The sequence below is a fragment of the Homo sapiens genome, chromosome 17, assembly GCF_000001405.40.
Source record: "Homo sapiens chromosome 17, GRCh38.p14 Primary Assembly".
Taxonomy (NCBI): Eukaryota; Metazoa; Chordata; class Mammalia; order Primates; family Hominidae; genus Homo; species Homo sapiens.
Genome location: NC_000017.11, coordinates 43,805,754 through 43,821,778, shown reverse-complemented (window position 1 = coordinate 43,821,778; position 16,025 = coordinate 43,805,754). Strand labels below are relative to the sequence as shown.

The 16,025-nt window shown below is 49.0% G+C and overlaps 1 protein-coding gene across 19 annotated transcripts in view; it reads left to right on the top strand.

Moving 5' to 3' along the window:
• MPP3 (MAGUK p55 scaffold protein 3) overlaps positions 1–16,025 on the top strand; it is a 32,336-nt gene that overhangs the window by 11,368 nt on the left and 4,943 nt on the right. For 5 of the 19 annotated variants that reach the window (NM_001932.6, NM_001330233.2, XM_006721915.3 and 2 more), the window contains 9 exons: positions 721–917; positions 3,669–3,733; positions 5,082–5,102; positions 5,700–5,741; positions 7,418–7,582; positions 7,688–7,768; positions 10,574–10,667; positions 10,864–10,972; positions 12,701–12,823. In NM_001932.6, the coding sequence (NP_001923.2) occupies positions 721–917; positions 3,669–3,733; positions 5,082–5,102; positions 5,700–5,741; positions 7,418–7,582; positions 7,688–7,768; positions 10,574–10,667; positions 10,864–10,972; positions 12,701–12,823 (897 nt within the window). Of the gene's footprint in view, positions 1–720; positions 1,038–3,668; positions 3,734–5,081; positions 5,103–5,699; positions 6,200–7,135; positions 7,583–7,687; positions 7,769–10,573; positions 10,668–10,863; positions 10,973–12,700; positions 12,824–16,025 lie in introns of those variants that run through there. The other 14 variants (XM_047436103.1, XM_047436097.1, XM_047436101.1 and 11 more) reach the window with 9 other exon arrangements.

Here is a 16,025-nt window from a genome sequence, read left to right as displayed (position 1 = left end):
AAGTGATTGGGCCCTAATGGTCTGAAAATAGAAATAAATAAAGTTAATCCATGCCACTAAATTATCGAAGAGAACAAGGAAGTGTGAAAAATGCTGTGTCCTCACACCATCTTCTCCAGAGAGGGTGACTCTAGAGCAGAGGGGGGAATTAGGGCTTGGCCGAGTCTATGGCAGACGAGGCAGGATTGAGCCGTAAGAGCTGTGGGTGTCAATTACCCACTGAAAAGTGATGGTGAGGAGTCAGTAACAGTAGTTTTGTTGATATTTGTGTTCTTACCCAAACATCTAGATTACTTATATAACAGATGGCTGCTGCCTTCCGTCAGCGCAGTTGGCGTATCAAAAATAACACTTGAGTTAGAAATTGTGCTTGCCTTTACTTTTTGTTCCCAGGATTAGTTGTTGCTGTGTGTATGCTAAGAGGCTGTTATGAGGACAGCTGGTCAAGTAAATAAGGAAATATTTAGGTAGGAAAGAGACATTCAGTCATGGGGCTTATTAATTTTCTGATTCTTGATGGACTTCCTGACTATAGTATCCCAAATGGTTGAAGAACAGTTAAGAACATACGTGCAGTGTATTTCCAAGTAGCTTTCTATTTGAAAGGCCACTTGGTCCTCCTAAGTGTGGATGGTCGTTGTCATGTGGCCTTTGATGTGACAATGACCTGTCTGTGCTCACTTGGGGAAGGGCCGCCTCACCAGAGCCCTCCTTGTGCAGGTGTTCATGCGCGCCCTCTTCCACTACAACCCTCGGGAGGACCGGGCCATCCCTTGCCAGGAGGCGGGCCTGCCCTTCCAGCGCAGGCAGGTCCTGGAGGTGGTGAGCCAGGACGACCCCACGTGGTGGCAGGCCAAGCGAGTCGGGGACACCAACCTTCGAGCCGGCCTCATCCCCTCCAAGGGGTTCCAGGAGAGGTGGGTCTGGGGTATGTTGTGAAGGGCTGGTTCCAGAGTGGCAGAGGCACAGGTACATGGCAGACCCCCAAGTCTCTGCCCTCACAGCCAGAGGGGCCTGCTGAGCATTGTTCCCCCAAGGTAAGTACCAGTTGCACTTGTGTTTGGTCTTTTCCCATAACTAGTGATGATGGTTATTTGAGATTTAAAGGAATCTATGGAAATTTATGTTATTAAGTTAATGTGTGTGTGTGTGTGTGTGTGTGTGTGTGTGTGTATTTTTTTTTTTTTTGAGACAGAGTCTCCCTCTGTCACCCAGGCTGGAGTGCAGTGGCGAATCTTAGCTCACTGCAACCTCCACCTCCCGGGTTCAAGCAATTCTCCCGCCTCAGCCTCCTGAGTAGCTGAGATTACAGGCGTGCACCACCATGCCTGGCTAATTTTTGTATTTTTAGTAGAGACAGGGTTTGGCCAGGCTGGTCTCAAACTCCTGGCCTCAAGTGATCCACCTGCCTTGACCTCCCAAAGTGCTAGGATTACAGGCATGAGCCACTGGATCCAGCCTAAGTTAATGTATATTTTATAATGCATGCTCAGAGAATGCTGATAAACAAAATATAAAAATACAGAAGAGAGGCTGGGCATGGTGATGACTCACGCCTGTAATCCCAGCACTTTGGGAAGCCGAGGCAGAAGGTTCCCTTGGGCCCAGGAGTTCAAGACCAGCCTAGGCAACATAGTAAGACCTTGTCTCTACAAAAAATAAAAAATTAGCTGGGCATGGTTGCACACACCTGTAGTCCCAGCTACTCGGGAGGCTGGGGTGGGAGGATCAGTTGAGCCCAAAAAGGTCAAGGCTTCAGTGAGCTGTTATCACACCACTGCACTCCAGCCTGAGTAAGAGTGAGACCCTGACTCAAAAAACAAAACAAAACAAAACAAAAAAACAGAAAAAAACTGAAGAGGAGGACTATGAAAGGAAATTCCCCACGTCTCACCCTTATCTAAACTGCATAGTTTGTTTCCTTACTGTGCTTTTTATGTGAGTGTTGCATACAGAATTTGGGGTCTTGCTTTTTTTTTTTTTAAACATTTTTGGCGTGAGTATTTTCCATATTATAGCATCGTTTTTGTAGTGTGATTTTAGTGGCTGTATACTAACTCATCAGGAGCTGTGCCATTCATTCCTAGGCGGCAGGTATTTAGGATGAATTGAGCTGGCCTTGTGCTGGCATCTTGCGGGCTGCTGTGAATCCAGGGTTTCTGCCCTGGAGGAGCTTATAGTTCAGTGGAAAAGCCAGACGCTCTTCAAACACACAGTTTATATAAACGTGATGGGTGCAAGGGAGGAGGACATGGTGCTGTGTGAGTTCATATTAGGAGGCTGCGCCCTCATCCAGGAATGCAGGGAAGGCTTCTCAGAGGAACTAGCTAAGTGATTTCACTGCTTTCCTGTGGCTGCACTTCGATTAGGTTGTTCCCAATTCTTCACTTTTATAAGGCTGCAGTACTTACTTACTTTGCACATAGACTGTTCCTCATGTTTCAAATTATTTCTTTAGACTTCCAGGAAGGTCAGTCTTGGGTCAGAGGGTGGCAGTTGTGACTTCCACTGTGGGTTGTAGCCCTCACATCTTTTGGTGTGTGGACTGTGGTAAGGACAGGACCTTGGGGTTCACCCATTTCAGTGGCCCTCAAGGTGTGGCCCCCTGGCTGGGGGCTTCAGCGTCACCTGGGGACTTGTTAGAAATGCAGATCCATGGGTCCTGCCCAGAAACTCACATTCTAACAAATGTTCCAGGCGATTCTGAGATGCCGAAGTCTGAGAACGAAGCTCTGTCTCCTCGGGAACCCCAGACCCATCTCCATTTTAGGGTTCACAGGTCTTGGCAACATCTTACCAGAGGATGTGGGGGACAGCTCTTCAGCTGCATTTTTTTTTTTTTTTTGAGACATGGTTTCACTCTTGCCCAGGCTGGAGTGTAGTGGTGCTATCTCAGCTCACTGCAACCTCCACCTCCCGGGTTCAAGTGATTCTCCTGGATTCTCCTGCCTCAGCCTCCCGAGTAGCTGGGATTACAGACGTGCACCACCATGCCCAGCTACTTTTTGTATTTTTTAGTAGAGACGGGGTTTCACCGTGTTGGCCAGGCTGGTCTCGAACTCCTGACCTCAAGTGATCCTCCCGCCTCGGCCTCCTAAAGTACTGGGATTACAGGTGTGAGCCACCACGCCCGGCCCTTCAGCTGCATTTAAATGTGGAAATCTAGTGACCTCTGAGAGCCCCACCTCTCCACTCATGGCCACATTGGACAGTCTGCCCGGGCTGAGCCTTCCGCTGAGGGGAGGGTGTTAAATTAGGGTCACTTCTGTCCTCGGCCTCTCCTGGGAGTCATTCTGCTATTTCTCAGCTCCCTCAGAGATGGGGAGGCTGGGGAGTAGAGAAGGGGCTGCCTCTCCTTAGAAATTGGCCATAGGAGAGTAATGACCAGCTGAGGATTGTACACCGGGCTGGATCCTGTGTGGCCATCTTGAGCTGGATGAGCTATTTCTGGAGCAAGAGACTCAGTTTCTTCCTCCTGGTGAGCCAGTGAGCCCTGTGAAAGTGTTCCCTTCGTTGGAACTTAGTGCTAAGCAGGAGGCCCTCAGAGTGTCCAGTGTGTGCCCACCTGTGGGATCCAGGCCTTGGCTTCCCAAGTTTTCCAGAAGGTTCCTTTCAAGTGGTTATCTGGCCCAGCTCACGGGCCCGCCCATCCCCTTGTGTCCCTGCAGACGACTAAGCTACCGGAGAGCCGCGGGCACCCTGCCGAGCCCCCAGAGCCTCAGGAAGCCCCCCTGTGAGTAGATTGTCAGGGATGGCACTCCAGGGAGGGCCCGGGGTTAGGGCGAGGGAGGATTCAGGCTGGGAAGAAGTAGGCAGTGGGCTGGAGGGGGCATCAGGGGTCTTGTCTGAGCTCATGGACTCCAGAGGAAGGAGGGGGTGGGAAGTAGGAGGTGGGGGGCAGCTAGTCCCTGGAGAGGAGCTTGTATATTTGGAGTCCATAGATGATGCTGGGGGGTATGTTAACAGCTTTCCCAAAATGTGCAGATGTGTGTGTGTTCACACGCGTGTGCATGTGCGTGTGAGGATCCACAGCTTTCGTTAGATTCCCAAGGGCTCTCTGACCTTGAAAATGGAAGAAGCACTGGCGTTGGAAGGGAATGGAGAAGGCCATGTGTGACCTGGTGCCTCTGGTAGGGCTGCCAGATTGCCAGACTGGGCAAATACAAATAAAGGATGCCCAGTTGAAGCTTGAATTTCAGATAGATGACAGATTGGTTTCTAGTATAAGTATGTTTTTATGTAGTTTTTATTATAGTATAAGTATGTCCTGTGCAATATTTGAGGCATACTTATACTAAGAAGTTACTTGTTGTTTATTTGAAATTCAAGTTTAAGTGGGTGTCCTGCATTTTATCTGGCAACTCTACACCGTGTAGCACTTTACACTTTAGAAAACATGTCCACCTACTTCTTGGAACCCTGTGAAGTCGGTAGAGTCAGCTATCTTTTCTAAGCTGGGAATATGTAGGGTCACAAGGTTAAGTGAGCAGAGTTGGGGTCACATTTTCTGAAGGCCTGTGATCAGAGCCCCAGGGTAGGGCCCCGTGCAGAGAGGAAGCTTTTCCAGAGCATGGTCTCTCTGGTACTAGAGGGCAGACTTGTAACCGAGTGAGCGGCCTGAGCAGGTGCCAGGTGACCAGAACACAGATGGCCTGCAGCTCTGCTCCACCCCGCTCCATCCTCAGGCATCTGCGTTTTCCAGGGCCAGACTCCAACCCCAGAAAAGAGAGAGTGGGTCCTATTCCCACCGCAGGATCCTAGAGTAAGCTGCTCCCTGGGCCCCTGACAATGGCCACTTTTCCAGACTTGCTGTCAGGTTAGAAGGGCAGTGGCCTTGAGGCTGCTGTGCCACTGATGAGCTGGCTTTCTCTGGTGCTAATGAGACACATACAAGAAGACTAATTAGAGCAGGTCTTGGGGTTTAATAACGTACCACAGCTCAGATCACAGGTTCGTTGGAGGAAAGGGAAAGAGGCCAGATGGCGGGCTCCTCAGGCACTCGGGCCGTGGCTGCCCTCAGCCGCAGGGTCCCCGCTTCCCTCCACTAATGCTGTTCCATCTGTCTTTTGTGCAAACCGCAGATGATCAGCCTTGTGACAAAGGTAGGCCCAGTATCTATCCGCTGTCCACAGGCGTGGCCCCTTTTCCGTGGAACGTCTGGGGCCTGAGGGGCTCGTGTTCTTTCCCTATCTGGGCAGCTGTGCCCCTCCCACTGTCTGCGCACCTCTTCCTGCTCTGCCAGCTGGACTGGGCTGTTCCTTGAGGCAGGCAAAGCTGGTGGGGACAGGGTTCAAGGCCTTAGGGGCACCTCCCTGCCCTCCTGACACGTGCGGCCCAGCCTTTCCAGGACTCGGCTACGCTGTGATGGGGCTGGATAGGAGACAAGGGGTGGGAGGGCAGGGCAGGCTGGAGTGAATCCCTCCCTATTCACACTGCTCACACTCAGGGACTGGGGAGGCCTGCTGGCCTAGAATCCCCCTCAGGGCCTGGAAAGGCTGTTAGGGGCCTAAGCATGGAGAACTGAGCAAAACAGAGGACCTTGCTTTCTTGGGGTGTCCAGGACATGGGATTTCCCCTGAGCTCCCCACGAGACACCATCCCAGGGGGCTCTTCCTGCCTGGCCATCCAGGGGCTGGGTGCCCTGGGCCGGATGTGTCTGGTGGGACTCACTGGCTTCCCTCCCTCTGTTTGCTTCCCAGAGACCTGTGACTGTGAGGGCTACCTCAAAGGGCACTATGTGGGTAAGTAGCTCCCCCTGACACCCACATGCACGACCTGCCCCACCCAAGGCCCCAGAGTTAGGGAGAGGTCAAAGCAGGGTGATCTGAGCCCCAGGAGTCCTTCTGGAGCAGTGGAGCCTATGGGACCCCCATCTCTCCTCAGTTCTCTCAACCCAAGCAGGAGCTGAGCCTGCCCAGGCATTGGGCCCCCACCCAGCTTTTACCCAGCTGTGGGGCACACTGCCCTGGCGGGAAAGGCACACACACCCCTACATTAATACCAATTCTATTATCACCATCATTGCAATTGGAGTTTATTCAATATTAACACCACTACCACGCAGTGAGGGGTGTTTGCGGCTCTCCAGAGCCCCTTTTCACTTGTTTTGGTCAGTTTTTTCAAAGGTCTTAGAGATAGGCAAAAAGTTTTTTTTGTTTTTTGGTTATTTTTTAGAGACAGGGTTTTGCCCTGTCTCTCACGCTGGAGTGCAGTAGTGTGTGACATTGCAGCTTGCAGCAGCCTCAATGTCCTAGGCTCAAACAATCCTCCCACCTCAGCCTCCTGAGTAGCTGGGACTGCAGGCATCTGACACCATGCCCAGCTGATTAAAAAAATTTTTTTTGTAGAGATGGGGTCTCGCTATGTTGCCCAGCTGGTTTCAAGCTCCTGGCTTCAAGCAATCCTCCTTTCTAAAAAGTTTTTAAACTTTTTTTAAACTTATTTTTTGAGATATGGTCTTGCTCTGTTACCCACACTGGAGTGCAGTGGTGTGATCACAAATCGCTGCAGCCTCAGCCTCCCAGGCTCAAGCGATTCTTCCCTCTCAGCCTCCCTAGTAGCTGGGACTACAGGTGCATGCCACTATACCTGGCTAATTTTTGTATTTTTTGTAGAGACAGGGTTTCACCATGTTGCCCAGCTGGTCTTGAACTCCTGAGATCAAGTGATCTGCCTGCCTTGGCCTACCAAAGTGCTGGGATACAGGCATGAGCCACTGCACCCAGCCCCTTAACTTTTGTCCTGAAGTAATTTCAAACTTACTGAAAAGGTGTAAGAATTATACAAAGAACTCTCATATACTCCACACCCAGATTCACCAGTTGCTCCTTTGCCATGTTTGCTCAATTTCCTTTCCCACATCTCTGAATTTTTTTTTCCTGAGTCATATGAGACTTAGTTGTAGACATCGTGTCCCTTTAACCCTAAATCTCTCAGCATGTATTTCCTAAGGCCAAGGACTTTCTCAGGGCAGTGATCAAATTCTGAGAATTTAAAATGTATCCAAATCTGTTATATGCTGTTATTTAAATGTTAACAATTGTCCCCATCATGTCCTTTATGACATTTTCCCTTGGTCCAGGATCTAATCTAGGACCACACATAGTAGTTGTAGATTCATATCTTCATTTCACAGGTAAGGAAATTGAGGCTCAGAGAGATGAAGGGACTTGTCCAAGGTCAGTCACATGCCAAGTAAAACAGTGACCTTAAGCCCTAGTTTGTGAATGCAGGGGTCACCCTTTCATCTTATTATTGTATTTCCTGAACAACCTCTTCCAGTAGCAGGAGGAGGTTGGGAGAAGTCAGTGGGACTCAGTCCCATCTCCAGGTCTGGCCAGGTGGGAAAAGTCTCTACTGGGAGATCCTGGGACAACTGGGACAAATGCCATGGTGTCCCTCTGCCCCTCCTCCCAAGCTGGTCTTCGGAGGAGCTTCCGGCTGGGCTGTAGGGAGAGACTGGGTGGCTCGCAGGAAGGAAAGATGTCCTCCGGAGCTGAGTCTCCGGAGCTGCTGACTTACGAAGAGGTGGCCAGGTACCAACACCAGCCCGGAGAGCGGCCCCGCCTGGTGGTTCTGATCGGTAGGTGCCATCCTGGGTTTCCAGGAAGTGATCTGGTTTCCTCCCTGGAGCAGGTGGGGAGGGAGCTCAGCAGGGACCCTGGTCAGCCTTCTTCTTGTTTCCCAGGGTCTCTGGGAGCCCGACTGCACGAGCTGAAGCAAAAGGTGGTGGCTGAGAACCCACAGCACTTTGGCGTCGCTGTTCCACGTAAGAGGGCCCATGTGGGAGTGTGTGTTTGTCTGCACACACACAAATATTCCATGGAGACTTAACTCCCCAGATCCATCCAAATCCTTACTTTGGGTTTAAAGGATCACCAGGCACTGCCTGCTATTGGCAAATTGTGGGACAAAGGCATGATGGGAAGAAATCCACTCCCAGTGGTCCTCTGAGACCCTCTGAGGCAGAAGTTGGAGGACCACTTGCTTGGTTCCTGCCTGGGGTGGGAGATGAGTCCAGAGCACATTGTAGGCAAAGTGGCAGCCTCAACCTGACACCACGGGGCCCCCACAGTAGGGGGCATTCCTCCTCATCACAGTGAATTTTGACTCCTGTGGCCGCTGCCCTCTGCTTGGATGAGAGGGCAGGTCAGAGAAGCCACAGAGCCCTGTGAGTGGTATTTCTCGGCACTCCCTTATAGCCAGATTCCAGTTTGTCAGGGTAGCTGGGTACATTCCTGGGTGATGCCTCCCCTGCCAATTCCTGGGGCTTACTGCTGCCAGGGGCACCCTGGGATGTCAAGCTCCAGTGGGCAGAGGATCCTGGTTCTGAATGTGATAAGGAGGATGAGGAGGAGGAGAATGAAGGTGCCAGGTAATGCACCAAGAGCTTTTATGTGTAGTGCCCTGCGTCAGCCCTCCCAGTACCCCTGAGAAGAGAGATTGTTATCATCTTGTGTGGCAGAGGAAGACAGTGAGGGTCAGAGAGGTTAAGTAACTTGTCCAATGTCACACAGTTGGTAAGTGGTGGAGCCAGGATTCATACCCAGGCAGCCTGCCCCAGTCATGTTCTTAACGAGGATGCACAATGGCCTCTCACCTGCCGCCTCCCACTTCGTGCCCTTGGCTGCCCCTTTTCTTTCTGGGACTCACTCTCAGTCCCCCTGGCCTCAGAGGGATGCAGTGTGAATGCCTGGTGGCTACTGAGAGGGGTGCTGTGGGGGCCCTAATGGGGCCTCCTCAGAGTGTTCTGGGGCAGAGCAACCATGAAGCCTTGCTTTGATCACACCGCTCTCCCTGGGCCCCTGGGCCCAGCGTCTAGTCTGTGGGTTGTCAGAGCTGTCTTCCACAGCCCAATCTGAAGTGGCAGGGATGTGGGGGAGGTGGTGGCCCTGGGGAGGCCATCCTGGCAGCACACCTGTGATGGACCTGGAGGGCTTCAGGGAGCCACGGCCTTCCAAGTTTCAGGTGGACTGAAACAGGACATGCAGAGGTTGCTCACACACTGATCGTTCAGAACCCCTTGGATCCACCCCCTGGAGAAGAGGTACCTGGATGGTCAGGCCCACCTGCTTCTAGGCACTCCACAGATAGGAGACTTTCCTCCTTTGTTTTAGAAACTGGGGGAGTCAGGGAAGCCTTCCCAGAGGCAGTGACTTTTATGCTGGGTTCTGAAGAGTAAATAGGAGTTTTCCAGGCAGAAGAGAAAGGAATAGTTCTCTTTACAGAGGAAACAACATGTGCAAAGGGACGGAGCAGTGTTGGGGACCGGGGAGATTAGTGTGGATGGTGTGCTGGAAAATGGAGCTGAGAGGTTGGGCAGATCACGCAGGTCTCAGATACTCAGCTAGGGTGTTTAGAATGTAACCCATAGATAAATACAAGTTTTTAAGCAGGGGGATGACATGGTTGGAAAAGTGACCCTAGCACCTCTACCGGAGGTTGGACTAAGATGCCACAGAAAGAACACAGGGCATACCCTGGGTGGTTCCCATGGGCCAGAAGACACAGTGCCTCAAGATCCCATTTTATCTTTTGGAAAATACTGTGTGTGTGGCTTTGTGTGTGCCCTTGTTCTGCAGAAGACCTGATTTTCCTCAGAAGTGTGCATCCCAATTCTGTTATGGAAATCAATGAGAAAACACCATGTGTTTCAACATTTTTGTTTGAGAGCCAGCCTTGCTGAAACACATCCGATCTATATAGGGACGGTCTGTCTTCCTGTCTCCTTTTTCTGGAGATGAGAACTAATTGACTAAAGAATTAAAAGCATACATCAGGGTCAAGTGTATGTGTGGCTCCTTTGCTCTCAAAAAATAAAAAACAATGAAGAATTAAAAGTTAGGACTAGGGGTCCCTTAAGTGATTCTTTAAAAGCCACAGCATATGCTGGGCGCGGTGGCTCATGTCTGTAATCCCAGCACTTTGGGAGGCTGAGGCGGGTGGATCACCTGAGGTCGGGAGTTCGAGACCAGCCTGACCAACATGGAGAAACCCCATCTCTACTAAAAATACAAAATTAGCCGGGTGTGGTGGTACATGCCTGTAATTCCAGCTACTCGGGAGGCTGAGGCAGGAGAATCGCTTGAACCGAGAAGGCAGAGGTTGCAGTGAGCCGAAATCATGCCATTGCGCTGTAGCCTGGGGAACGAGCAAAACTCCGTCTCAAAACAAAAAACAAAACAAAACAAACAAAAAAAAAACACAGCATCAGGGAGTCAGTTAGCAGAGTGGTTAAGGGTATAAGCTGGGCATTTGGCAGAGAGACCGATTCTGGCTGTGCTCTCTACTGGTTGTGGGTCACTGTGCACAGTGCTGAACCTCTCCGTGCCTCAGTTTTCTCAGCTGCAAAAGGAAAAGCCTCCTTTTGCCTACATCAAAGAGTTGTTGTGTGAATCAGTGATACGCCTGCCTGGAAAGGCACAGTGCCTGATACAGGGACATGCAATGAGGTGGAAGTGCCTGGTTTAGACACAGCAGCAGTGAACTCCCAAATGAGTGCCTAAGCCTGCTGCTGTCCCTGCGTGCTGTGATGTGACATCTCTTTGCCCAGCTTTCCTTCTTTCTTTAAAAGATACCACCAGGCCCCGAAAGAGCCATGAGAAGGAAGGAGTGGAATATCACTTTGTGTCTAAGCAAGCATTTGAGGCCGACTTACATCACAACAAGTACGTTGCTTGATGGGCCAGTTGGCCCTCCAGGCAGTTGTGTGTTTTTGTATCTGTATTCCACTAGAGCTCCTGGGAGGACTCCCGGAAAGGATGGGGGAAGCGGGAGAGAAGTCATGTTGGGAGGTCCCCTTTGCTTTGCTAATTTAGGAAAGCTGAGGAACTAAAGGCCTTTTCCCCTTTGGTGGTGTTTTAGGTTCCTGGAACATGGTGAATATAAGGAAAATCTGTATGGAACCAGCCTGGAGGCCATTCAGGCTGTTATGGCCAAAAACAAAGTTTGTTTGGTGGATGTGGAGCCAGAAGTGAGTTGCTGGGCCTGCTGGCCATTTCTGGTTAACGGAATTTATAACTAGGGGATTGTACATTTTACACAACACTTAACCTCAGTCTAAGGAATTTTTAGTCTAGAACACTGGCTGTTCAATTTCTTTGGGTCTTCCTTTGAGAATCAAATGAAAGCCTTGTACCCCAAAACATGCCCCTCTATCCACAAATGCTGCATTAATTGTAGGGAGCTTGTGGACACTCTGGTGGCCCACAGACCCAGGCTAGTAACTCCTGCGTGGAACAGATCATGCAATAGTTGGTGGCGCTGACTGGCCATTGCAATGTGCCAGAGAATTAGATGTCAGTACCCAGGTGAAACTGGGGCTGAGCTCTCGGTGCCAGGCCTCCCCCTCCCCAACCAGGGCAGGTGGAGTCAGTGGCTTAGAGAACCACTCAGGGAGGCAGTGAGGAGAGCAGTTTAAAGGGGAAAAAGAGGGAGGGAGACACGGCCCTGGGAAGTGCTTCAAAAACATTTCCACTCCTGCACACCCAGCATGCTGTGGACTCAGCAGGGGCTTAACCATCTTTTTAACCTTGTCTTTTAGAAAAACTTCCAAGCTTTGAACTCAATCTGGGGATTTTTTTTCCCCTCTATAGAAACAGATCTCTGATTTTATGCTATAAACTGTAGGCTTTATTTTAAAGAAGTTTGCTTGAAATATATTCCAAAAAGCACGTTATGCCTATAAAGGAAAACACTCATTTGGACTTACAGGGAGTTAGTGATCAAAATTAAAAGTCTGAGTTTCAAAATTTTCTTTGAAAAGTGATTTTATTGATCACTTTATTGATCAAGGGTGCAGATAATGCATATAGCAGTTTAATACTAGTGTTTCCAAGTGGAGCCCTTACTTCTAGATAAAATGCATTAATCAAGAGTACAATTTCTTTTTCTTTTTTTTTGAGACAGATTCTTGCTCTGTCACCCAGGCTGGAGTGCAGTGGTGCGATCTTGGTTCACCGCAAGCTCCGCCTCCCGGGTTCACGCCATTCTCTTGCCTCAGCCTCCCGAGTAGCTGGGACTACAGGTGCCCGCCACCACGCCTGGCTAATTTTTTGTATTTTTAGTAGAGACGGGGTTTCACCATGTTAGCCAGGATGGTCTTGATCTCCTGACCTCGTGATCCACCCGGCTCGGCCTCCCAAAGTGCTGGGATTACAGGTGTGAGCCACCGCACCTGGCCCAAGAGTGCAGTTTCTACAGTCTACAGTTTTAAATGATCTGTTCAGTAATCTCATTTGCTTTGCAAACCTTTTCTTCTTTGAATACCAAGAGGAGATGTAATAGCACAAAGTTTGTAATAATGTAGTCCGATTGATGACATTTGACTAAATAGATACACACTGACTCCTGCTTCCTCACCCATCAGAAATGGAAGGTGGAGAGGAGCCTGAGAAGGTTAATTATAGCCGGAGGAGTCAGAGCTAAGAGAGACAGCAACTGTCTCTGAGCTGAGGCTTAGGAACCTTCTGTTGGCAGTGAGTGTGACTTCAGGGCCCCGCTGAGTTCAACGTCAAAGTGAAGGATGAGAAAAGGAGCAGTTGGTCTGCCCAGTTGAAGTCCATTGTCATGGGACCCATGTAACCAGGACCTTTGCTGTTGAGGTTATGGTATTGAAGCACACGATTATTGAGCTTTCAAAAGTCTATTTCACAACAAAACACTTCAAAAGTATATAATATTCCTGAACTTTCTTTCTCAGGCACTGAAACAACTGAGGACCTCAGAATTTAAACCCTATATTATATTTGTAAAGCCTGCAATTCAGGAAAAAAGAAAAACGCCACCTATGTCCCCAGCTTGTGAGGACACAGCAGCCCCATTTGTAAGTTTAAAGTTGATTGTTTCTTTTCTGAAGGCCTAAGGGAGGCTGTTACAGGAACGCTTCTAGCTGCATAAGGGTGCTTGCAGCTGAAGAGGGATGCGGGACACACCTTCTACATGTGATTGTCTTTCCATTTTGCCTATTGAAAAACTTAAGAGAAGATGATTACATGGCCAGAAGGCTCAAGGTGAACAGCTGGAAGTGCCTCCCAAACCAGGCAGGTGGCTTTGCCTGGGCTCACGCCCCTCCACTCCCTCACATAAGCGCCCTCCCGCAAAATGTGACACCTGTCAGGGACCTCATCTGAGTGTGACAGACTGTACTCATCAAACTATACTCCTAGGCCAAATCCAAGTATTTTAAATTGAAACCCCAACTAACAAGGTCATTATCACTGCTATCAAACCAGTTTGAATCATCAGTGAATGAAGGGATTTCTAAAACTAGTGGATGAGATCGTCTGATGTGTCCTAAATGAACTTCTGTTTCACTGTCATAGATTCTTTGTTCAGCCCAGTCTATGTCAGGATGGCGAGACCCTCACCCAAAACCTAAATATTTGACAGAGTTCTTCCAGGAGGTGTGGGCTTGGTGACTCATCTTTTTTGGTTCTTAACAGGGTCAGTTAGCAGAATGAGTTGGAAGTTGTTGTGGGTGGTGGGGGCAGTCAGAAGCAACTCAGTCCCAGAATAGACTTTACTTGCTGTCCTATATAGCTGGTTTCATCTGAAGGAGGCCTTCTCGGATCCTTCCCCTTGGTCAGGAAGCTCCCGCTGAGTCAAGATTTTGATGCAATCCTAGTTCATACTAATTCTCAGTTTTAACTGTCCACGTTGATACACTTTTTATTTTATTATTATTTTTTTAAAGACAGGGACTCACTATGTTGTCCAGGCTGGTCTTGAACTCCTGGGCTCAAGTGATTCTCCCACCTTGGCCTCCCAAAGTGCTGGGATTACAGGTGTAAGCCACTGTGCCCAGCCTTTTATTTTTTTGGGGACAGGATCTTGCTGTATTGCCCAGACTGGAGTGCAGTGGTACAATCATGGCTCACTGCAGCCTTGAACTCCTGGGCTCAAGCAGTCTTCCTTCCTCAGCTTCCTAGGTAGCTGAGACTACAGGCATGTACCATCAATGCCCAGCCAATTAAAAAAAATTTTTTTATAGAGACAGGGTGTCTCTGTGTTGGCCAGGCCGGTCTCAAACTCCTGGCCTCAAATGATCCTCCTGCCTCAGCTTCCCAAAGTGTTGGGATTACAGGTGTGAGCCACCGTATCTGGTCTCAGTAAATTATTTAGAATGGCATACATACAAGGAACATTAGAAATTCTCTCCTTGGCCAGGTACGGTGGCTCACACCTGTGTCTCAGCACTTTGGGAGGCTGAGGCGGGCAGATTGCTTGAGCCCAGGAATTCAAGACCAGCCTGGGCAACTTGGTGAAACCCCATCTCTACAAAAAAATTACAAAAATTAGCCAGGTGTGGTGGCACAAACCTATAGTCCTAGCTACTCGGGAGACTGAGGTGGGAGTGGGAGGATCACTTGAGCCTAATAGGTCAAGGCTGCAGTGAGCCATGACCATGCCACTGCATTCCAGCCTGCATGACACAGTGAGACTCTGTCTCAAAAAAAAAAAAATGTAGAAAAAAGAAAAATTTTCTCCTTTAGAAACTCTAAGGGGGAGGCTGGCATGGTGGCTCACGCCTATAATCCCAGCACTTTGGGAGGCTGAGGCAGGCAGATCACCTGACGTCAGGAATTCGAGACCAGCCAGGCCAACATGGTGAAACCCCGTCTCATACTAAAAATACAAAAATTAGCCAGGTGTGGTGGTGCATGCCTGTAATCCCAGCTACTCGGGAGGCTGAGACAGGAGAAACACTTGAACCCAGGAGGCAGAGCCTGCAGTGAGCCAAAATCACGCCACTGCACTCTAGCCTGGGTGACAGAGCAAGACTCCATCTAAAAAAAAAAAGACACAAGAAACTCTAAGGGGAATAGGGGAATATCAACTTAAGTCTAGAATCATTTAGAAACATACAATATTGGCTGGGTGCAGTGGCTCACACCTGTAATCCCAACACTTTGGAGGGCCAAGGCGGGTGGATCACCTGAGGTCAGGAGTTCAAGACCAACCTGACCAACATGGTGAAACCCCATCTCTACTAAATACAAAAAATTAGCTGGGTGTGGTGGCACGCGCCTGTAATCCCAGCTATTTGGGAGGCTGAGGCAGGAGAATTGCTTGAACTTGGAGGCAGAGGTTGCAATGAGCCGAGATTGCGCCATCGCACTATAGCCTGGGCAGCAAGAGCAAAACTCCATCTCAAAAACAAAAAAAAGAAACATACAGTATGCCCATCATATAACAAAAAAATCAGAGACAACCTAAATAATGTTCACTGTCAGGACTCAGTTCAATATACTCCATTATGTGACACTTACAGGATGTATTGAAGTATTATAGCCAGTTAAAAGCCATATGTTGGGGCCGGGAGTGGTGGCTCACGCCTGTAATCCCAGCACTTTGGGAGGCTGAGGTGGGTGGATCATCAGAGGTCAGGAGTTCGAGATCAGCCTGGCCAACATGGTGAAACCCCGTCTCTACTAAAAATACAAAAATTAGCTGGGCGTGGTGGCAGGCATCTGTAATCCCAGCTACTCGGGAGGCTGAGGCAGGAAAATCACTTGAACCTGGGAGGCAGAGTTTTCAGTGAGCTGAGATTGCACCACTGTACTTCAGCCTGGGCGACAGAGCAAGACTCTGTCTCAAAAAAATAAATTAATTAAATAAATAAATAAAAGCCATGTGTTGGAGGAATATTTGATGACATAGCTAAATACAAGAAAAAATAAATCAAAATAAAAAATCAGGATTCTAATTTTGTGTTACACACAAAATACACTAAAACGCTAAAGGCAATTCTCCCTGAATAGTGGGCTCATGACTAAATTTTGTTTTGTTTTCTGTGTGTTTTTTGGAGGGGGAGTTAACAGCTTTACTGAGATAAAATTTACATACTGTACAATTCACACATTTAAAGCATACAATTCAATGATGTATTCACAGAGTTGTTGCAACTACCACAGTCAATTTAAGAGTATTTTCATCACTTCAAAAAGAAACCTTGAGCCCATTAGAATTTCCCATTATCTGTTTTCCTCCAGCCCCTTCCTAGCCACAGGCAACTGCTAATCTAC